Source organism: Homo sapiens, chromosome 10 (genome assembly GCF_000001405.40).
Source record: "Homo sapiens chromosome 10, GRCh38.p14 Primary Assembly".
NCBI lineage: Eukaryota > Metazoa > Chordata > Mammalia > Primates > Hominidae > Homo > Homo sapiens.
In genome coordinates, this window is record NC_000010.11 from 115,197,234 (window position 1) to 115,221,397 (window position 24,164).

General features: G+C 35.1%; 1 protein-coding gene across 10 annotated transcripts in view; it reads left to right on the forward strand.

The window, feature by feature from the left end:
- The window catches only part of ATRNL1 (attractin like 1), an 855,635-nt gene that overhangs the window by 103,869 nt on the left and 727,602 nt on the right, over positions 1-24,164 (forward strand). For 9 of the 10 annotated variants that reach the window (NM_207303.4, XM_011539587.2, XM_011539588.3 and 6 more), the window contains one exon: positions 18,464-18,647. In NM_207303.4, the coding sequence (NP_997186.1) occupies positions 18,464-18,647 (184 nt within the window). Of the gene's footprint in view, positions 1-18,463; positions 18,648-23,190; positions 23,271-24,164 lie in introns of those variants that run through there. The other variant, XM_017016039.3, reaches the window with a different exon arrangement.

A 24,164-nucleotide genomic window follows, 5' to 3' on the forward strand; every position in this document is an offset into this window, starting at 1 on the left:
TCATAATATATTATCCTTTTCATATATTGCTGAATTTCATTTGCTAAAATCTTAAAGACTTCTATGTCTATATTCATAAGAGATATTAGAGTATGTATTTTTCTTGTAATATCTTTATATGGTTTTGTAATCTGGCTAATGTTAAATGATTTAAAGCATGTTTCATCTTTTTTAAGAGTTTATGTAGAATTGATATTATTTCTGTCTTAAATGGTTGATAGAATTTGATCAGGGAAACTATCTGTTCCAGGACTTTGTGAGAATGATTTTAATTATGTATGTATTTTCTTTACTAGATATAGAGATATCCAGGTTCAAATTGTAACAAATGACAGGGTTTTCTCCCTTTTTAAGGTCAAATAAGATTACACTGTGTATATACAGTTGTCCCTCAGTATATATGGGGGATTGATTCCAGGACCCCATACCAAAGCCAGTGCAGTCGGCCTGGGGAATCCATATGTAGGAAAAATTGGCCCTCTCTGTATAGGAAAAGTTGGCTCCCCCTAAACACAAGTTTTGCATCCTGCAAATATGGTATTTTCTATTTGCATTTGGTTGAAAGAATCTATATATAAGTGAGCCCGCACGTAAGTGGGCTCATAAAGTTCAAACCCATGTTATTCAAGCATCATCAATATGCCACATGTTTTTCATCTATTCACTCCATTGGATGGACACTTAGGTTGATGAGCCCTTAGGTTGATTCCATATCTTGGCTATTGAGACTAATGTTACAATGAACATGGAAATGCAGATATCTTTTTGACATGCTGATTTCATATTCTTTAGATGTATACCCAATAGTGAAATTGCTGGGCCATACGGTAGTTCTACTTTTAATTTTTAGGAGGCTTCATATTGTTTTCCATAATGGGCGTACTTCTTCCCACCAACAGGGTACAAGGATTCCCTTTTCTCCACATTCTTGCCAACACTTGTTATCTTTTGTCTTTCTGATAATAACGATTCTAACAGATGTGAAATGATATATCATTTTGGTTTTAATTTGCATTTTTCTGATGGTGAGTAATGTTGAACATTTTTTCATATACCTGTTGGGCATTTGTGTATCTTCTTTTGAGAAATGTCCACTCATGTCCTTTGCCCATGTTTTAGTTTGGTTATTTGTTTTCTTGCTGTTAAGTTCTTTGAGTTCCTTATATATTTTCATATTAACCCTTTAACAGATATATCATTTGCAAGTGTATTTTCCCATTTCATAGGTTATATCTTCAGTTTGTTGATTATCTCCTTGCTATGCAGAAGCTTGTTTGATGTAATATCATTTGTCTACTTTTGCTTTTGTTACCTGTGCTTTTGGCATCATATCCAATAAATCTTTACCCAATGAATGTCATTAACTTCTCGACTATGTTTTTTTCTAGTAGTTTTACCATTTCGTGTCTTATCTTTAAGTCTTTAATCCATTTTTAGTTGATTTTTATATATGATGTGAAATGAGGGTCTAATTTTATTCTTCTGCATGTGGATATCCAGTTTTCCTAGAATCATTAATTGAAGAGACTGTCTTTTTCCTGTTATGTGTTTAGGCATCTTCATCAAAAGTTAATTGACTATAAATGTGTGAATTTATTTTCAGGTCCCCTGTTCTGTTTCACTGGTCTTGTGTTAGTACCATGCCTGTACAATGTTGTTTTCATTACTACAGTTTTGTAGTAGATTTTGCAATCAACTAATGGGAGGCCTCTGGATTTGTTCTTTTTGCTTAAGGTTGCCTTAGCTCTTTGGGGCTTTTTGTGGTTTCATACTGATTTTAGGATTTTTAAAAAATTTTTTGTGAAAAATGTCATTGAGAGTGTGGTAGGGATTGCTCTGAATCTGTAGATCACTGTGGGAAGTATGGATATTATAACAATATTAATTTTTCCAGTCTGTGAATGTGGGATCTTTCCATTTATTTGTGTCTTTTTCAATTTATTTCATCAATGTTTTATAGTTTTCATTGTACAGATCTTTCACCTCATTGGTTACATTTATTTATTTATTTCAAGTATTTTCAGTTTTTTTAATGAGCAATAAAAGAAAATGTTTCGGCTGGGTGCAGTGGCTCCTGTAATCCCAGCACTTTGGAGGCCAAGATGGGCGGATCACAAGGTCAAGAGATCGAGACCTTCCAGGCCAACATGGTGAAACCCCATCTCTACTAAAAATACAAAAATTAGCTGGCGTAGTGGCACGTGCCTTTAGTCCCAGCTACTTGGGAGGCTGAGGCAGGAGAATAGCTTGAACTTGGGCAGTGGGGGTTGCAGTGAGCTGAGATTGCACCACTGCACTTCAGCCTGGCGACAGAGCAAGATTTCATCTAAAAAAAAAAATTCAATAGTTAAGCATGACTGAAACTTGATTATATCTGCTTTTTATAAAAATATCTTGATATCTGTGTAGATAATGTAGGGTTGGGATTAGGTACATGAATAGCAACGGAGTTGTGGAGACTTCTTAGCAAGCTAAAGTGGTAGTAATTATGAGAGATTCTGGAAATTTAGCTACACTGGCATTAGTGGGAAAATGTAAACTAGTTTGTTTGCTTTTTCAGTAAACTATTTTCAAGAATTAACAGGACTAAAACATGAGAAAGAAATGTTTGAATGCTTCTATTCAGAATGCTTCTATTCTTTCTACATTAAAGCAAAGAGACATCTAGAAGTCATCTCTGTAGACAGGTGAACAGTTACATTACTTAATTTCCTCTGAATCAGATTTGTGCTTAATTGCTGAGAGGGCACCATCAGGGAGGGAATTCAGATTAATGTTTGCATAGGGTGTGCAGTGGACCAGAGTATATTTTTCTATGTTAGCAAGATGAACTAATCTAGTGATTAAAAAAATACCCATTAAAGTAAGATACAAAGAACAAATACAGTTCAGTTTTATCACATTTATTTCATTTCTGCTGAATTTAGATACTACCAACAATTTGGAGTTAGCTGCAGATTTTTAAAAATGGATTTTTTTTGTTACTTGTTTAGTTTTTTTTTTTTAATTATACTTTAAGTTTTAGGGTACATGTGCACAATGTGCAGGTTAGTTACATATGTATACATGTGCCATGCTGGTGTGCTGCACCCATTAACTCGTCATTTAGCATTAGGTATATCTCCTAATGCTATCCCTCCCCCCTCCCCCCACCCCACAACAGTCCCCAGAGTGTGATGTTCCCCTTCCTGTGTCCATGTGTTCTCATTGTTCAATTCCCATCTATGAGTGAGAACATGTAGTGTTTGGTTTTTTGTCCTTGTGATAGTTTACTGAGAATGATGATTTCCAATTTCATCCATGTCCCTACAAAGGACATGAACTCATCCTTTTTTATGGCTGCATAGTATTCCATGGTGTATATGTGCCACATTTTCTTAATCCAGTCTATCATTGTTGGACATTTGGGTTGGTTCCAAGTCTTTGCTATTGTGAATAGTGCCGCAGTAAACATACATGTGCATGTGTCTTTATAGCAGCATGATTTATAGTCCTTTGGGTATATACCCAGTAATGGGATGGCTGGGTCAAATGGTATTTCTAGTTCTAGATCCCTGAGGAATCGCCACACTGACTTCCACAATGGTTGAACTAGTTTACAGTCCCACCAACAGTGTAAAAGTGTTCCTATTTCTCCACATCCTCTCCAGCACCTGTTGTTTTCTGACTTTTTAATGATTGCCATTCTAACTGGTGTGAGATGGTATCTCATTGTGGTTTTGATTTGCATTTCTCTGATGGCCAGTGATGATGAGCATTTTTTCATGTGTCTTTTGGCTGCATAAATGTCTTCTTTTGAGAAGTGTCTGTTCATACCCTTTGGCCACTTTTTGGTGGGCTTGTTTTTTTTTTTTTTTTGTAAATTTGTTTGAGTTCATTGTAGATTCTGGATATTAGCCCTTTGTCAGATGAGTAGGTTGTGAAAATTTTCTCCCATTTTATAGGTTGCCTGTTCACTCTGATGGTAGTTTCTTTTGCTGTGCAGAAGCTCTTTAGTTTAATGAGATCCCATTTGTCAATTTTGGCTTTTGTTGCCATTGCTTTTGGTGTTTTAGACATGAAGTCCTTGCCCATGCCTATGTCCTGAATGGTAAAGCCTAGGTTTTCTTCTAGGGTTTTTATGGTTTTAGGTCTAACATTTAAGTGTTTAATCCATCTTGAATTAATTTTTGTATAAGGTGTAAGGAAGGGATCCAGTTTCAGCTTTCTACATATGGCTAGCCAGTTTTCCCAGCACCATTTATTAAATAGGGAATCCTTTCCCCATTGCTCGTTTTTCTCAGGTTTGTCAAAGATCTGATAGTTGTAGATATGCGGCGTTATTTCTGAGGGTTCTGTTCTGTTCCATTGATCTATATCTCTGTTTTGGTACCAGTACCATGCTGTTTTGGTTACTGTAGCCTTGTAGTATAGTTTGAAGTCAGGTAGAGTGATGCCTCCAGCTTTGTTCTTTTGGCTTAGGATTGACTTGGTGATGCGGGCTCTTTTTTGGTTCCATATGAACTTTAAAGTAGTTTTTTCCAATTCTGTGAAGAAAGTCATTGGTAGCTTGATGGGGATGGCATTGAACCTATAAATTACCTTGGGCAGTATGGCCATTTTCACGATATTGATTCTTCCCACCCATGAGCATGGAATATTCTTCCATCTGTTTGTATCCTCTTTTATTTCATTGAGCAGTGGTTTGTAGTTCTCCTTGAAGAGGTCCTTCACATCCCTTGTAAGTTGGATTCCTAAGTATTTTATTCTCTTTGAAGCAGTTGTGAATGGGAGTTCACTCATGATTTGGCTCTCTGTTTGTCTGTTATTGGTGTATAAGAATGCTTGTGATTTTTGTACATTGATTTTGTATCCTGAGACTTTGCTGAAGTTGCTTATCAGCTTAAGGAGATATTGGGCTGAGGCAATGGGGTTTTCTAGATATACAATCATGTCATCTGCAAACAGGGACAATTTGACTTCCTCTTTTCCTAATTGAATACCCTTTATTTGCTTCTCCTGCCTAATTGCCCTGGCCAGAACTTCCAACACTATGTTGAATAGGAGTGGTGAGAGAGGGCATCCCTGTCTTGTGCCAGTTTTCAAAGGGAATGCTTCCAGTTTTTGCCCATTCAGTATGATATTGGCTGTGGGTTTGTCATAGATAGCTCTTATTATTTTGAGATACATCCCATCAATACCTAATTTATTGAGAGTTTTTAGCATGAAGGGCTGTTGAATTTTGTCAAAGGCCTTTTCTGCATCTATTGAGATAATCATGTGGTTTTTGTCTTTGGTTCTGTTTACATGATGGATTACATTTATTGATTTGCATATATTGAACCAACCTTGCATCCCAGGGATGAAGCCCACTTGATCATGGTGGATAAGCTTTTTGATGTGCTGCTGGATTCGGTTTGCCAGTATTTTATTGAGGATTTTTGCATCAATGTTCATCAAGGATATTGGTCTAAAATTCTCTTTTTTGGTTGTGTCTCTGCCCGGCTTTGGTATCAGGATGATGCTGGCCTCATAAAATGAGTTAGGGAGGATTCCCTCTTTTTCTATTGATTGGAATAGTTTCAGAAGGAATGGTACCAGTTCCTCCTTGTACCTCTGGTAGAATTCGGCTGTGAATCCATCTGGTCCTGGACTCTTTTTGGTTGGTAAGCTATTGATTATTGCCACAATTTCAGAGCCTGTTATTGGTCTATTCAGAGATTCAACTTCTTCCTGGTTTAGTCTTGGGAGAGTGTATGTGTCGAGGAATTTATCCATTTCTTCTAGATTTTCTAGTTTATTTGCGTAAAGGTGTTTGTAGTATTCTCTGATGGTAGTTTGTATTTCTGTGGGATCGTTTATTGGAATAAGAGAATAGCTTGGTCATTGTGGAAGTATGAAATGATTGTATTTTAATATACAGCTACTTTGTTATTACAACCAGAAGCAGGGTTCAAAAGCCCTAACAATGATGAATTTCTTTTATTATGGCCATCTACAAGTATAAAAGTTTTCAAAAAAGTGGTAATACTCCACCAACAAATGTAAACAAGCGAAACTTCAAACCTAGAGCAGTAATAGAGATTGGTGTTTGCCATATAAGCTGTTGAAGGGAATCTTTTGAAGACATCTACAATGACTTCTTAGAGAAAAAACAGACCCTATGTCAGGTTCACAGTAAATAATAGCCCCCTCATGTCTTAACTGTCTAACTGAATGTTTATGGAAAGGCAAGCTAGGAAATAAGCCCATGATCTGGTCATTTCTTGGTACATGATAAAGTACAAAATGTACTCTTCTTGAGCGTTTAGTTTACTTTTGAGCCTCTTAGGATTCTTAAAAGTTTAAAACTAGATTGGGCCACCTTTTTTTTTTTTTTTTTTTTGAGATGGAGTCTTGCTCTGTCACCCAGGCTAGAGTGTAGTGGCACGCTCTTGGCTCACTGCAACCTATGCCTCCTGAAGTCAAACGATTCTTGTGCCTCAGCCTCCTGAGTAGCTGGGACTGCAGAAGTGCACCACCATGCCTGGCTATTTTTTTTTTTTTTTTTTTTTTTGTATTTTTAGTAGAGACAGGGTTTCACTATGTTGGCTAGGCTGCTCTTGAACTCCTGGCCCCAAGTGATCCTCCTGTCTTGGCCTCCCAAAATGCTGGGATTACAGGAATGAGCCACCGCACCTGGCCTAGATTGGGTCAACTTTAAAATTTATCTTATGGTTGAAATTACTGTATTTCTAAATTTAAAAATATAGACATAATCAAGTAAAGAATATATAGTCTTATTGGTAGATTATATCTTGGAGATATAATCCTTGCTTATTTTTGAGTATTTTATTTTAGTTTTTAATGTTGTAAAGGGATCTTTTTTGGTTTCTTTTTCAGATAGTTTCATTGTTAGCATATAAAAATGCTACTGATTTTTGTACGTTTATTCATATCCTGCAAGTTTACGGAATTTTTAAATTTTTTTTTACAGATTTTTGGTGGAGACTTTAGAGTTTTTTACATATAACATCATGTGATCTGCAAACAGAGGCAACACTTCTTTCCAATTTGGATGTCTTTCATTTTTTTCTTTTGCCTAATTCCTCTGGCTAGGGCTTCTTGTATTATGTTGAATAGAAGTGGTGGGAATGAGCATCCTTGTCTTGTTCTTAATATTAGAGGAAAAGCCTTCAACTTTTCACCACTGTAGTGTTGGATGTGGACTTGTCATATATGGCTTTTATTATGTTGAAGTACATTCCTTTGATACCTAATTTGCTGAGAGTTTTTATCATGAAAATATGTTGAATTCTATCAAATGCTTTTTCTGCATCTATTGAGATGATAATAGAATTATTGTCCTTCATTCTGTTAATGTGGTGTATCACATTAATTGATTTTTGCATATTAACCCATCATTGCTTCTTTGGGATATATCCCATTTTATCACAGTGAATTATTCTTTTACTGTGATCTTGATTTTTATTTGCTAGTGTTTTGTTGAATATTTTTCCTTCTATATTTATCAGGAATATTGGCTTTTATATAGTGTCATTGTCTGGCTTTGGTATTAGGGTAATGCTGGCCTTGAGAAATAATTTTGGATATGTTCCCTCTTCTATTTTGTGGAAAAGTTTGAAAAGGATTGTTGTTAATTCTTCTTTAGATATTTGGCAGAATTCATTAGCGAAGCTCATTTGTTCCTGGGCTTTCTTTGTTGGGAGGTTTTTGATTAATGATTCAAAAACTTGATTAGTGTTTCAATCTTATAGTTGTAATGCTCTTTTAAGCTGATAACATCTTAACTTAGATCACATAAAATAACTCTACACTTTTATGCCAACTCTACCCCTCACATTTTATGTTTTTGGTGTGACGATTTATATATTTTATTGTATATTCCTTAGCAAATTATTGTAGCTATTATTTTTGACACTTTTGTCTATTAACCTTTATACTACAGATAACAGTGATTCACACACCACCATTACAGTATTAGAATATTTTGAATTGTGTCCTTACTTTTACTAGTGAGTTTTATACTTTCATACATTTTAGTCTCTTTGATAGCTGATAGGACTTTGCCTGTTTTTTTTCAATGTGGCAGATGTTGCCTTCTAATTGACAGTTTTAGACGATTTATATTTAATGTAATTATCAATATGCTTGGATTTAATCATGCTGTTTTGATTTTTGCCCTCTAATTATTCTATTAGTTTCTTTTTCCTCTTACGATTTCATTTTTTCTCCATTATTAACTTCTTGAGTGTAATTGTTGATATACTTAAACTTAGGTCTACTATTTTATTATTCAGTTCTTTGTGTTTCCTGTTTTTTATTCTTGTTTCCTTTTTCCTGTATTCATTTGGATTATTTGAACATTTTTTAGTATTCCATTTTAATCTTATCTTAATGTGATATTTACTATTATCTCTTTGTAATTTTTAAGTGATTGCTCCATAAATTAAAAAGTAATACTTTTTAGAGTGTACTAAGAATCAATATTTTGTCACATGGTTTGGAATGCGGAAACCTTACCTCATTACAGGTACCTTTACCTTCTCCTTTCATATGCTACCATTTCTTGTATATTTCATCTACAAACATTGAAAATCCCATAAGGCCATGTAAATATTTTTGCTTTCAACCATCAAGCATACTTTAAAGAACTCAAAAAGAGAAGAACAGTGTATTGCATTTACCCAGAAATTTACCATATCTATTGTTATTTCCTCATTCCAAGTTGCCTTCTGCTTCATATCCCTTCATCTGAAGAGCCTCATCTAGCATTTCTTTTAGAGCAGCTCCACTGACTGTATAGATTATCTTAGTTTTTCTGCATCTTAGAACGTCTTTATTTCACACTTATCCGTGTAGGATATTTCTGTTGCATATAGAATCCCGAGTTATAATTATTAGCACTTAAAAAATGTTGGGCCACTTCTTTCTGGCCTTTATGGTTTCTTATGATAAAACCATAGTCATTTAAATTGTTGTTCCCTTATATAATTTGTTATTTTTCTGTAGCAGCTTTCAAGATGATTTCTTCATTTTTATTTTTCAACAGTTTAATTGTTACATGCTTGGTGTGGATTTTTTTGAAAATACTTTGTTTGTGATTTGCTCAGGTTCCTGAATCTTTAGGACTATTATTAACTACATCTTTTTGTTTTGTTTTTTCAAATGGTTGCTGTATTATTTACAATATACATCTTTAGCTTATCACATTCTACCTTTAATTATGTTATATCACTTCATATATAGTGTCAGAACCTTAAAATAGTATACCTGATTTTTTAAATTGTTTCTCTTGAGCTAATATCATATCTATATAGGTTATAAAGAACACAATAAATTGTTCTAGTGTTTGTTTTTAACAGTAAATTATCATTTTAGAGAGATAAAAATGATAGATGATTTATATTTATCCACATATTAACTTTCTCCTATTCTCTTTATTCATCTGTATAAATCCAAATTCTGTATAATATTCTTTTTTTAAATTATACTTTAAGTTCTAGGGTACATGTGCACAACGTGCAGGTTTGTTACATAGGTATACATGCGCCATGTTGGTTTGCTGCACCCATCAACTCGTCATTTACATTAGGTATTTCTCCTAATGATATCCCTTCTCCAGCCCCTCACCTGCCGACAGGTCCCAGTGTGTGTGATGTTCCCCACCCTGTGTCCATGTGTTCTCATTGTTTAACTCCCACCTATGAGTGAGAACATGCGGTGTTTGGTTTTCTGTCCTTACGATAGTTTGCTGAGAATGATGGTTTCCAGCTTCATCCATGTCCCTGCAAAGGACATGAACTCATCCTTTTTTATGGCTGGCTAGTATTCCATGGTGTATATGTGCCACATTTTCTTAATCCAGTCTATCATTGATGGACATTTGGGTTTGTTCCGAGTCTTTGCTATTGTGAATAGTGCCACAATAAACATACATGTGCATGTGTCTTTATAGTAGCATGATTTATAATCCTTTGGGTATATACCCAGTAATGGGATGGCTGGGTCAAATGGTATTTCTAGTTCTAGATCCTTGAGGAATCACCACACTGTCTTCCACAATGGTTGAACTAATTTACAATCCCACCAGCAGTGTAAAAGCATTCCTATTTCTCCACATCCTCTCCAGCATCTGTTGTTTCCTGACTTTTTAATGATCGCCGTTCTAACTGGCATGAGATGGTATCTCATTGTGGTTTTGGTTTGCACTTCTCTGATGACCAGTGAGGATAAACATTTTTTCATATGTCTGTTGGCAATAGCAGGTATAATTTTCATTCAGCCCAAGGAATTTTGTTGTCATCTCCTGTAGGGCAAATCTCTGATTTTTTTTTCTTTTAGTCTGGAAATTTTTGTTTCACTTTCATTTTTGAAAAAAAATTTGCTGAGTGTAGAATTCTATTTTGATAGTTTTCCTTTGTTTTTAATATAGAATTATGGGTTGGCAGTTCCTCCCCTTGCCCCCCCACATTTTACTAGCTTAAAAATGTGACTCCACTGTCCTCTGACTTGCAAGTGGTTTCTGATGAAAAGACAGCTGTCATTCTTATCTTTGTTCTTCTGCTTTTTTGTCTTCATAACTTCATGAAATTCTTGGTGTGAGCTTCTTTATATTTCCCACTCCCCCATCCCGATCTTGTGTGTATTTTGTTGCATTTCTCAGTTTCATGGAATTACAGATTTTGTTAAATTTTGGAAATTATTTCTTCAAATAATATTTCTGTCCACCACATCACTATCACATATCTCAAACTCTTATCACTCTGGATTAGGCTGCTTGATATTGTTATCCAGGTTTTTCAATCTTTTTCATTTATGTGCTTCATTTTGGACAGTTTATATTTCTTTATAAGTTCACTGTTCTTCTGTAATCTCTAATCTTGTGCTAATTCTGTTAAATGTATTTTTCATTTGAGGCATTCATTTATAGGCATTCTATTTCATTTATAGGCATTCTATTAGTTTCTAAAATTTTTGCTATTACTTGTTATCATATTCATGTTTTCTGCAACATTATTAAACATATTTGAGTATATTTCCAATCATTTTTTAAAACATTCTGTTCTACCACTTCTATCTTTTGTTTTATTTCTGGGTCTCTTTCTATTGGATGATTTTCTTTTTGTTATGAATTATATTTCCTTTGCCTTCTATACTTTTTAATTTTTTCATATGTTTTAGGCATGTATATTTTAAACTTATTGGCTATTAGATTTTGTTGTATTCCTTTAAGGGGTGTTGGACTTTGTGCTGACACACAGTTAAATTGCCTTTTACCAGCTTGAACATTCTGGGAGTTTGCTCCTTAGTCTTGTTAGAGTGGATCCAGAGCAACTTTCAGTTTATTGCTCATTTATTTTGGTACTACATCTCTTCTCAGGACTCTACCTAATGCCTCCTGTAGTACGAGGCCATTTTTCTATTGTTGCTTGGAGCACAAACTGTTCCCAGTGCTGTGTAAGACTCAAGAGGTGTTTACTAGTTTTTTCTTGGTCCTTTCCATAGCCTTAAGTAGTTTTCCCGTTTTGCACATGCAGATCAGTACTCAGCTAAAGACATGTGGGACTTTTCTGCAGATCTCTGTGTTTTCTGTGTGTGCAAGCTGGTTTGATTTCTTTCTTTTTTTTATTATTATACTTTAAGTTCTAGGGTACGTGATTTCTTTAAACTCTAAACTTTGTTTTCTCAAGTTAGTGAGATCACCACTCTATTTTGGATCTCACTGAGTTTCTGTTTACCTTACAAGTAATCAGGGTAATTCATTATGAAATATAGTATTTCACTTAAAATACTACGGAAGCAAAAACTACTATAAAAGTAAAAAATAAAAATGACTCAAATATAACAAGAGTTCTTCATTAGGCCATGATGGAGTAATTTGGAAAGCATTTCCTGCCATAAACAACTCAAAAACCAGAAAAAATATATGAAAAATGCTTCACAGATGTTGGATAACAAGCAGAAGTAAAATATTTATTTCTCTTTAAAGAAAGAGAAATATTTATTTCGCACTAAAAAGTTTATTTCTTTCTCTTTACTTCCTACATCTTGTGTCATGGCCAGGGTATTGCCTACAAGCAGTATGCTCTGGCAATCATAGAGCCTACACTTGTTTCTGTTTCTTTTAGAGTCATAGTCCTATGCTGTCACAGGATCACAGTGTAATGCTGCTTGGTATCTAGTATCCATAAAGCATTTTTTATTTTGTTTTTTTTTTTTTCTGGTTTCTGAGTTGTTTGTGGCAGGAAGTGTTTTCTAAATTACTCCATCATGGCCTAATGAAGAACTCTTGGTATATTTGAGTAATTTTTGCTATTTACTTTTGCAGTATTATCCTGAGTTAGTTCATGTATTCATGCATCTGTTTTCACCACTGTCTTTTCTCATTAATGACCTACTTTTGAACCAGTGGTTTACTTTTTTATAAATTGAGAATATGATAAAGCACACTACCAAATTGAAAAAAAATTCACGCATATGCAAATAACAACAGAGGATAAGAACATATGTTTTCTGAGGTGATCTATATGTTGTTATCTTGCATGTTTATTGAGACCAGTTGGTTCCTTAGAGCATATATACATTTCCAAATGCAAAACATAAGAAGAATATAATGAGAATGTGACTCAAATTAATCTTGCTTTTCAAATTTGTCTCCTGTGTGGGAAGACAATTGTTTCCTTTTAATTTTTCACCTGAAACTACTATACCACTTATGAATTCCTTGCCTGAACTGCTAGTGACTGAACCTAGAGAAACATTGAGGTAGTACAAGAATGCACATTTTGGTGTTAGACCTGTGTCTTCGCTCTTACAATTCCAAAGTTTTTTTAAAAAAGTTTATCAAGTAGTTAAGTGAAATACTGTATTTCATAATGAATTATGCCGATTACTGGTAGCTGATCACTAGTAGTGAACATTATATTTTTAAAATAAACTTTTTATTTTGAGATAAATGTAGTTACAGGTATATAATTGTAAGAAATAATGAAAGTGATTCTGTATACCCTTTACACAGTTTTCTCTCATAGAAACATCTTGCACAAATGTGTAACATCCTAAGTCTAGATACTGACATGGATATAATCCTATGATCTTACTTAGAAATTCCCAGTTTTATTTGTATTTGTTTGTGTGTGTGTGTGCCTATTTCATTCTGTGCAGTTTTATCACACATGTTGATATATCTCCCACCACAGTTAAGATACAGAGTAGTTCTTCACCCCAAAGATCCTTCTCATTGCCCCTTTAACCACACATACCTCCTTTCTACCCTGGCTCCTCACAACCACCAGTTTGTTCTCCATTTTATAATTTTGTGATTCCAAGAATGTTTTATATATGGATCATTTACATTTAAGGTAATTTTGATATATTAGTGACTAAGTCTGCTGTTTTATTATTTGTTTTCTGTTTTTTTCCTTTTCTTGTGCCTCTTTTTCTCTTTACTTGCTTCCTGTGGGTTATGTGAATAATTTTTAGGATTCCTTTTTGATGCACTTGTATAGTGTTCTTAATAGTATCTCTTTGTAAAATTTTGATAGTATCTTCTGTATAATTTTCTTAGTGGTTGGTCTGTGTGTTAAAATATATATATTTGACTTATCACAGTCTACTGGCACCAGTAATTTACCACCTCAGGTGAGATGTGGAAACCTTGCTTTCATTTACGTCACTTTAGCTTTACTTTTCTCACTTTTAAATATCATTATCTTGAGTATCGGATGGTGTTATAATTTTTTTCCATCATCATATATTATTTATAAACATTCATGAGAAGGATAATCTGTTGTTTGTATTCATGTTTCTGCTCTATTTGTTGTCCTGACTTCTTTTTTTTTTTTTTTAATTATACTTTAAGTTTTAGGGTACATGTGCACATTGTGCAGGTTAGTTACATATGTATACATGTGCCATGCTGGTGCGCTGCACCCACTTTTCTGATGCTCCAAGCTTCCTTCCTTTATCTTTCTGTTTGAAGAAGTTCTTTTAACCATTATTTAAAGAGAGACCTGCTAATGACAAATTCTTTTTTTTTTTTTAATTTAAGAATTTTTTCCCTCTTAATTCCTGAAGGATAGTTTCACTGGAGGTAGAATTCATACTTTACAGTTCTTTTTCTCTCCAGCATTTGAAAACAGTTGTGCTACTTCTTTTGGACCTCCATGGTTTCAGATGAGAAGTCCATTATTATTAAAATTATTGTTTTTCTAGGTAATTTGTCATTTCACTCTGGCTGCTTTCAAGGTTTTTTTCCTTGTCTTTAGTTTTTAGAAGTTTAATTATGAGGTGTCTTGGCATGGATATCTTTGGGTTTAACCTATTTAAGATTTACTTAGTTTCTTGAATCTGTAAGTTTATGTCTTTTACAAAATTTGGAAGTATTTGGCCATCATTTCTTTTTTTTTTATTATACTTTAAATTTTAGAGTACATGTGCACAATGTGCAGGTTTGTTACATATGTATACATGTGCCATGTTGGTGTGCTGTACCCATTAACTCGTCATTTAACATTAGTTATATCTCCTAATGCTATCCCTCCCCCCTCCCCTCACCCACAACAGTCCCTGGTGTGTGATGTTCCCCTTCCTGTGTCTATGTGTTCTCATCGTTCAATTCCCACCTATGAGTTTAAAAACTCTGTAAGCCCCATTTCTTTTTCTTCTCCTTTTGGGATTATGGTGCTACAAATGTTGGATCATTTGTTATTGTCCTAAGGGTCTCTGAGACTCTGTTCACTGTTTTCTCTATTTTTCATATTGGATAAATTTTATTTATTTTTATTTTTAATTTTTTGTTTATTTTTATAATTTTAACTTTTATTTTAGATTCAGGGGGTGAATCTCAATGCAGGTTTGTTATGTGGCTGTATTGCATGATGCTGAGGTTTGGAGTATGATTGATCTTGTCACACAGGTGTACTGAGCTCAGTACCCAATAGTTATTCACCCCTTGCCCCACTCCCTCTCTCTTGATAAATTTTATTGTTCTGTCCTCAAGTTTAACAATTCTTTCCTTTGTCATTTCCACTCCGGTTTTGAGCCTATCCCGTTAGTTTTTATTTGTTATTGTAGTTTTTTTTTAACTTTTTTTTTTTTGCTGAGATATTTTTGTTTGTTTCAAGATAATTTGTAATAGTAGTGAGGTTGCAGAGAAAAAGGAATGCTTATACACTGTTGGTGGGAGTGTAAGTTAGTTCAACCATTGTGGAAGACACTGTGGTATTTCTCAAAGACCTAAAGATGGAAATACCATTCAACTCAGCAATCCCATTACTAGGTATATATCCAAAGAAATATATTAATAAATTATTCTATTATAAAGACACATGCACATGTATGTTCATTGCCAGCACTATTCACAATAGCAAAGAATCAATCTAAATGCCCATCAATGATAGACTGAATAAAGAAAATGTCGTACATATACACCGTGGAATATTATGCAGCCACGAAAAAGAAAGAGATAATGTCTTTTGCAGGGACATGGTTGGAGCTGCAGGCCATTATCCTTCACAGATTAACACAGGAACAGAAAACCAAATACTGCGTGTTCTCACTTATAAGTGGGAGCTAAATGATGAGAACACATGGACACATAGAGGGAAAAAATGCACACTGGGGCCTATTGGAGGTGAATTGTGGAAGGAGGGAGAGGATCAGGAAAGTAACTAATGGGTACTAGGCTTAATACTTGGGTGATGAAATAATCTATACAACAAACCCCCGTGACATAGATTTACCAATGTAACAAACCTGCACTTGTACCCCAAAACTTATAATAAAAGTTAAAAATAGTTATAGTTACATGTTGGAGTATTTTTATCATGGCTACTTTAAAATTCTTTTTAGATAATTTTAACATCTGATCCATTCATCTCAGTGTTAGTATTACTTGATTGTCTCTTCTCATTCAAGTCGTGATTTTTCTTGTTGTCGGTATGACAGGGAGTTTTTGATCATATCTTTACATTTTGGGTTTCATAGTGGGAGTCTCTGGGTTCTATTTTAAATCTTTTATCTTAGCAGGTAGTCACCTAGTTTGGGTTTTGCATTCAGGTCTTGTGGTGAGATCTCTCTTTGCAGTCTTAGGCCTTGTGGGGAAGGGGAGTGCTTTCCCTGCATATTTACTGTAAGTAGTATTTGGCAGGTCCCTTTTGCTAGGGCTGCCAGGGTCATCTGGTTTTGTCCATTGGACTCGTGTTCAGTTTGGCTAAGGAATAAGCCTACCCAAGTAACCTTTTGTTCTAAGGATGGGGGTTGAGAAGTGCTGGGCCTCAGTAACCTTCTTCTGTTGGGTGAGTGAGTGTCATGAGACACACATTCTCCAGTCCCTAGCCAGTCTGCCTTCGTCTTTACACTTTAGATTTTTTCTTTGGTTGTCTCTTACACAGTTTCTAAGGTCTGTGGGGGGAGCAGGGAAAAATCAGTCTACACTATCTTGTTCCACTTATTAACTTTTAAACTTTTGATGTGTTATTCAATTTTTCTAGCTTTGAATTTCCTAATTTGTAAAGAAGAGATAGCAATAATATAACCCTCCAAAGATTATTATTAAATGAGATAATGAGATAGTTACTGAGAACTGTGCTCTATTAGAGAATGATGCTGCTGTTGATTGCAAGGTTGTTTATTGCACCATTGTTTCTAAGGGCAAATTGAAACCCAAATGAGTAACAAAGTAGAGTTATTTAAATAAATTGTATATTATCAACACAATGAAATTTAGCTCTTAAAAAAGTAATAAATGGGACACAGAATGATGCCCCAAATGTCTTGTTAAGTGAAACAGTAGTTGCAACATAGTATTTTTAGTACAAATATGTACACACACACACACACACACACACACATATATATAAACATATCTATCTAAAAAACATGTACATGTGTTTTATGTATACGAAAATATTCAGAACTGTAGTTTGAAAATAGTCTGTATGTAACAAATTGTGAAATGTACCTCTAGGTAGTGGGCTGGGGGAAAGGGTAACTTTTACATTTTATACCTCTTAATTCAATATTTTTTGGTAAGGATCAAGTTTATCTTTATTAAAAGGAAATGAATAAAACTATGAAAATCTTTTAGTTCAAATATATATATATATATATAGTTAAGTGGTTAAAGAATATTAATCAAATTATTTCTGATAAGTTGTCTTTTACTTCATTTTTTGGAAATTACCTCCAAAATGTAATGCCTGTTAGTTACATATGAGTTCCGCAAAGTTTCTTAACATAGATTAAGTACCAGTGGCTTGGATGACTTTTTTGGATATTTCTATTTTTTATGATCATTGTAGAATCATTTTCTTTACTACCTTAGAATTTTGTAAATGCAAAGAATTTTTAAGCATTATCATTTTCTATTAGTTGATTTGGGTATTTTCAATGAGCTGACTAGGATGCCACATTTTAGGTGGCTGGTTAGAGGAATGATGGAGATGTGATCTATATGCATATTTAAAAACAAATGACAGATTTTTATATAGCTGCTTTTTATAATAAATTTTCTAAGGCCAAGAAATTGTGGGTTTTTCGTATGCATTTCTTAAAAGCATCCCTTGCATATGATTGGTGTTTTTATTAGTGAAACTGCATTGGGAAATGAATCTATTGTAGATACAGCAAGCAGAGTGGGATTTTAATATCGGAAATTAGTTACAAAAGTGTTAGAAGGACTAGAGATACCAAAGGGAAGGGATCACCCAGAAATCCAGAAGTGCTACATACCTAGGCTGGAGCCTATGATCACATTTGCCACTGAGCAACTAAACATACCAGTTTTGCTACTGAGCAGGGAATACCTATTAAGCCAGCACTGCCATTACTTACTGTAATTGCCTTCCTGTTCCTGCTGCTAGAGGCAAAATCAGAATCTTTCCTCTTGCCCTTTAATCTCATACTAGTACTCCCATTGGTGGAACCTAATGTAACACAATTGTCAAGCGAGTCTTGGAAATTTTATTGTTTAGGTTTTCATCCTCTGCAATACAAAGGACTTTATAAAAAGGAAAGTGGGGCTTATAACCAACAAATAAAGGACCAGCACAGTACTAAAAATGTGTTCAATTAATTTTAGATTTCTAAGGGTAGGGATCATATCATTTTATCTTTATAATGTCAGTGACTAACTGTCACATAGTAGGCTCTCAAAATATTTGTTAAAAATTTTTTTCAGAGCTATTTATGTAATATAAGAATAAAGTTTTCCTTTTTCTCTTGCAAACACATAAAATGTTCTTTTTAGTATTTCAGAGTTTAACTTCATCTATGGAAAGACCAGTGTTACTCAACTTCAAACCCAGCACCTAACCTGGCACATACTTAATAAGTGTTTCTTGATTAAATTAATATTAGATATACAATGTTTACTCATAAAAATATGTCATTAGAATTAACTTGTTGGTATTTTGGTGATATATTAGTTATATTTAAAAATACTACTTGAAATTTATAATGTATTTTATTTCTGTTACAGCATCAAACACTTGGCTTGTTCCAGAAACTAAAGGAGCTATTGTACAAGGTGGATATGGCCATACTAGTGTGTATGATGAAATAACAAAGTCCATTTATGTTCATGGAGGGTATAAAGCATTGCCAGGGAACAAATATGGATTGGTTGATGATCTTTATAAATATGAAGTTAACACTAAGACTTGGTGAGTACACAAAATAACACATTTTCTATGTTGCCATTATTATTGTAAATGATTGACTTTAAAATGGTTTCTGACATAGAAATACTTACTTTATATGCATTCATTGTAAATGCTGATATCGTCTTAATTTCAGATGAGTAATTTTGTTTACCAGTATGACTTCGATATCATCTGTTCAGGGATTTGTTCTTCTTTGCACTCATATTTTATTGTCATCTGTAAATTTTAAAAAGCATTTATTTAGTTTCATCATCTAACTTCCTGTGAAATACAGAGCTTGTGGCATTTAGGTAAATTTTCACCTTTTGTTGTTATAAACAATGCTACACTGCACTTCTTGCACTGATCTTTTCATGTACATATTTAAGAGTTGCTCTAGGGTGCATACTTAAAAGTGAGATTTTTGTATCTGAGAGTATTTATATCCTCAACTTTATTACATGTTGCCGAAGTGCTTTTCAAGTCACTGTGGTAATGTGTATATACTTCCACCAACAGGGTATGTGTCCCTGATCCTTCATGTTCTCACCAACACTTGAAAATTGTGAGAATTTTTACTTTTGCCAAGGTGATGGGTGTGAATAGTATTTTAATGTGCATTTTCCTGATTAGTATTGTAAACATCTTCTTATGTGTTGATTTCCTATTGTTTCCTGTTTAGTGAATTGCCTACTCATATCCATAATATTCTCTTTATGTTTGAAATATTATTAATTAATTTTTAATTTATTGATTTTTTTGGTTATAGAAGTTTTAAAATAAAATTTTTGTTCTAATTTTTCTTTGTAAAATCTGGGAAATGACTTTTTTTTCTTTTAAGACAGTATACATTCTTTTAAACTTCTAGCATTAAGTTACTTTATGTGATCAAAGGAAATACACAGGTTTCCATCAAATCATGATTTGTTCTACCCTCTTCACTTTCATACATATATCCTAATTTCTACTTTTTAAAAAAATATAGAATTATAACACCTTTTTTCTTTTGGTAATTTTGATAATTCTTATTTTTAGTCTAATAAAATGTAGTTTTATTCTTTATATTTTTATATTCATTTTTATTTTGTATAACTCATAAATAGCATCTTCTGTACATTTAATATTTGTAAATTTTTCTCTGACATTTTGCTATGTTAGCAAGTGGAATTGTGGTATAGTGATGAAGGTACTATCAGTCTGTTACACATTTTAAACATGTATTTAATTTAATTTAATTTATTTATTTGAGACGGAGTTTTACTCTTATTGCCCAGGCTGGAGTGCAGTGGCACGATCTCAGCTCACTGCCACCTCCACCTCCCACGTTCAAGCGATTCTCCTGCCTCAGCATCCTGAGTAGCTGGGATTACATGCACACACCACCATGCCCGGCTAATTTTTTATTTTTAGTACAGATGGGGTTTCACTATGTTGGTAAGCCTGGTCTTGAACTCCTGACCTCAGGTGATCCACCCACCTTGACCTCCCAAAGTGCTGGGATTATAGGTGTGAGCAACTGTGCCTGGCCCTAAAAATATTTTTTCAATGCTGTGTCATACCAAAAGGGAAGAATAACTTCTGTATGAAGGAGGCAGTATAGTTCACAGTAATAATAATGGGTATAGCAATGCTCAGGTAAGAAGAATCTTAATGAAAGTGAATGGATAAGAGAGCAGAATTGGATATTATTTGTGTAAAGTCAAAATGAGAGATTCAGTTGTTGCTCACTACTTGAATAAAATTTTGTTAAATTTTCCATGATTTTCTACCTGAAAACTTTACATAGTGAAAGTTTTGCCTAGATGAATATTATTGTCAGCCCTGGCAATTTTAGTATGTGCACAAATGGCACTGGATATTTATATGTAAAACAATTTACTAAAATAATTTGTAAATTATTTTAAACACCTCATTACAAATATGTTGTAGATGTATGATGCTTTAATATTTTAATGGGTCTTAAATTTCTTTAAACACACAAAGTTATCAGTGAGCACTAATTGATTTTTTCATTATCCTTAAAATTTGTAGTATTCTTTAAGCTTAGATCTTTTTTAGCATATTTGTCAAGTTTGCTATTATATATGGATTATGTCAGTGGTCCCCAACCTTTTTGGCACCAGGGACTGGTTTTGTGGAGACAGTTTTTCCATGGACCCAGGGAGGGGAGATGGTTTTGGAATGATTGAAGTGCATTATATTTATTGTGCACTTTATTTCTATTATTTTTATTACATTATAATATATAATGAAACAATTATACAACTCACCATAATGTAGAATAAGTGAGAATCCTGGGCTTGTTTTCCTGCAACTAGATGGTCCCATTCTGGGGGTGATGGGAGACAGTGACACCGAAAGTGTTTTGCCTATGTTCAGTCTACTCCATAATCTCATTTTGGTTGCTGTCACTGCAGAAAACTCTGCTCCACGAAGACAGGATGCTGGAAATAGAAGCAGGCTTTTTGGTGCTTTTGTGGCAATCTCAGGATATTCTGCCTTGACTTTAACTCACAATGTATAGTGATTTGAAGTTGTCTTAAACATACTTTTAAGGCTACTGTCATTTGCGATCTCATGCAGTTGATCCTCTTCTAGCATGGACAAAGTCGATTCACCTGGCTTACTCGCAAATGGGTCGCGTATCCATTCCTTCCCAGTTTGGGGTCTTTTTGAAGTTGGGAAGTAATGCTGAAATTCTTTTGTAAGCTGTAATAGTTGTTCATGCACCAGCTGGGAGAAAGATGGTGCTGGGAGAAAAAAATCTCTTCTAATGTTTGAAACATGTCAGAAATTCGAGAGTTTACTTGTCGCCCCCATAATTCCAGTTTGGCATTGAATGCAGCCACTTTACCTGCCAACTTGAATGCAGTTGTTATTCTCTCCTGAAGTGACAGAATGAGTTTCTTGAGCAGGTTGAATATGTCACACAAGTAAGCAAGTTTTGCAACCCATTCTGTGTCACTGAAATGTGCTGCCAGTGGTGACTGTTTTTCTAAAAGAAATCTCTGCAGTAGCCCTTGTAAGTTGAAAACTCTGACCAGTGACCCACCTTTAGAAAGCCACCTCACTTCTGTGTATAAGAGAAGACATGCGGCCGGGTACAGTGGCTCACGCCTGTAATCCCAACATTTTGGGAGGCCAAGGTGGGCAGATCACGAGGTCAGGAGTTTGAGACCAGCCTGGCCAATATGGTGAAACCCCATCTCTACTAAAAATACAAAAATTAGCTGGGCATGGTGATGTGCGCCTGTAGTCCCAGGTACTCGGGAGGCTGAGGCAGAAGTGCTTGAACCCAGGAGGCGGAGGTTGCAGTGAGCTGAGATCGCGCCACTGCACTCCAGTCTGGGTGACAGAGTGAGACTCCATCTCAAAAAAAAAAAAAAAAAAGAAAAAGGGATGACGTGTGTGCTTTGCACCCATCTCCTCACAGAGCTGTGTGAACAGATGTGAGTTGAGGGCATGTACTTTAATGTGGTTGATAATTTTCATCACATCTTGCTAAATATTGTTAAGTTCAGGTGACATTTTTCGCCTAGCCAGCATTTCTCTATTGATGACACAGTGAGTAGACTCACATTCAGAAGCAACCTCTTTGACCCAAGCAGTAAAACCAGAAAGCTGCCTAGTCATGGCAGATACTCCATTTGTGCGTATATTGACAAAAAATGACCAATTCAGTTTTCCTGATATGTAATCATTCAAAGATTTGAATACTTCTGCAGCTGTTGTGTTGGTTGTCAACAAAAGTTCACATAATAGTCTGGGCATGGTGGCTCATGCCTGTGATGCCAGCACTTTGTGAGGCAGAGGCAGGTGGATTGCTTGAACTTAGGAGTTTGAGACAAGCCTGGCTAACATGGTGAAACCCCATCTCTACTAAAAATACAAAAGTTAGCCAGGCATGATGGCACACACCTGTAGTCCCAGCTACTTGTTGGTCTGAGGTGGAAGGATTGCTTGAACCTGGGAAGTGGAGGCTGTGGTGAGCCGAGATCGTGCCACTGTCCTCCAGGCTGGGTGACAGATTGAGACCCTGTCTCAAAAAAACAAAAAAGAGAGAGAGAGAGAAATGTGCACATAACATATCCTCGTGCACAGCCTCCTGAAAAATATATTGCACAAAAACAAACGTTTTATTGTCAACATCAGTTGACTCATCAACCTGGATTGCTTACCAAGGTGACTTATTAATTCTCTCTAACAATTGTGCCTCAGTATCCTCTGCTATTTCATCAATTCCTCTAGTTATGGTGCTAGCTGAAAGAGGAACACATGTCACCTTTTGAACTGCAGTCTCTCCTAAAAGACTACAAATGTCTTCAGCAATAGGCAGGATCAACTCTTCATCAATAGTAAAGGGCTTCTATGGTTTAGCAATGCTGTTAGCTACTAAGAATGATGCTCTTAGTACAGACCCATTTGATGAAGTGGTGGCTTTCAATAATTGCTTCGGCTCTTCGTGTTCACTTTTTTTCTTTTGAAAAACTCCAAAGGCTTGTTTTTTAATGCAGGGTGCTTGGTCTCCTTGTGGTGAAGCAGTTTTGAAGGTTTCATGGTTTCATTGGATGGCTGGTTGCAACGTATTGTACAAAGTGGACTTGGAGAATGTGAATCACCTGTTGTAATGAACCCGTAATTTAAGTAAGACTCTTAGTATTTTCTTTGAAATGCAGCTTTCTTTTTGTTGGCAGTCTAAGAGTCTTCTGCTATCTCATCATTCCCCCTTTTCAAAGAAGCTCTCCAGTGATGTTTGTTTTTTACTCAGTTTGGCTAAGGTTTGTTTGTGGGCTTACCAAAACTGTAACTGAAACAAGTGTGCAGTGTGGGAAAGAGGTGTGGACAGAAATGGTAAATAAAATAATGGGGGGGGGGGGGCGGGGTCAGGCAGTGCCCGCATGGACTAAAATAAGTATTAGATTCTGCCTTCAAGCTTGCTACCAGATGCGACTGTAAAATTGAAGTACATCATCTCACTTGCCACTATAAAGCCTGCTACCAGATGCAGCTTAATTATCACTTGCCACTCACTCACTGATAGGGTTTTGATATGAGTCTGCAAGCAATTGATTTATTGTGGTCCCTGTGCACTCAAACCTCTCTGCTAACATTAATCTGTATTTGCAGCCACTCCCAAGCCCTATCATCATCACCTCAGCTCCACCTCAGATCATCAAGCATTAGATTCTCATAGGGACATGCAACCTAGATCCCTAACATGTGCAGTTTACAATAGGGTTTGCACTCCTATGATAATCTAATGTTGCCACTCATCTGACAGGAGGTGGAGCTCAGGCAGTAATGCGAGTGATGGAGAATGGCTGTAAAGACAGATGAAGCTGTGTTTCCTCACTTGCTACTCACCTCCTGCTCTGCTGCCTGGTTCCTAACAGGGTGTTGAGAACCCTGGGATTATATTGTATAGGATGTCACCATTATGTGTCCATTATGTATCAGTATTATGTATCCACTGTATAGACTGATATTTATTTTTTACCACCTCAGAACTGGTTTCGGTTTTTAGTAGATATGGTTACA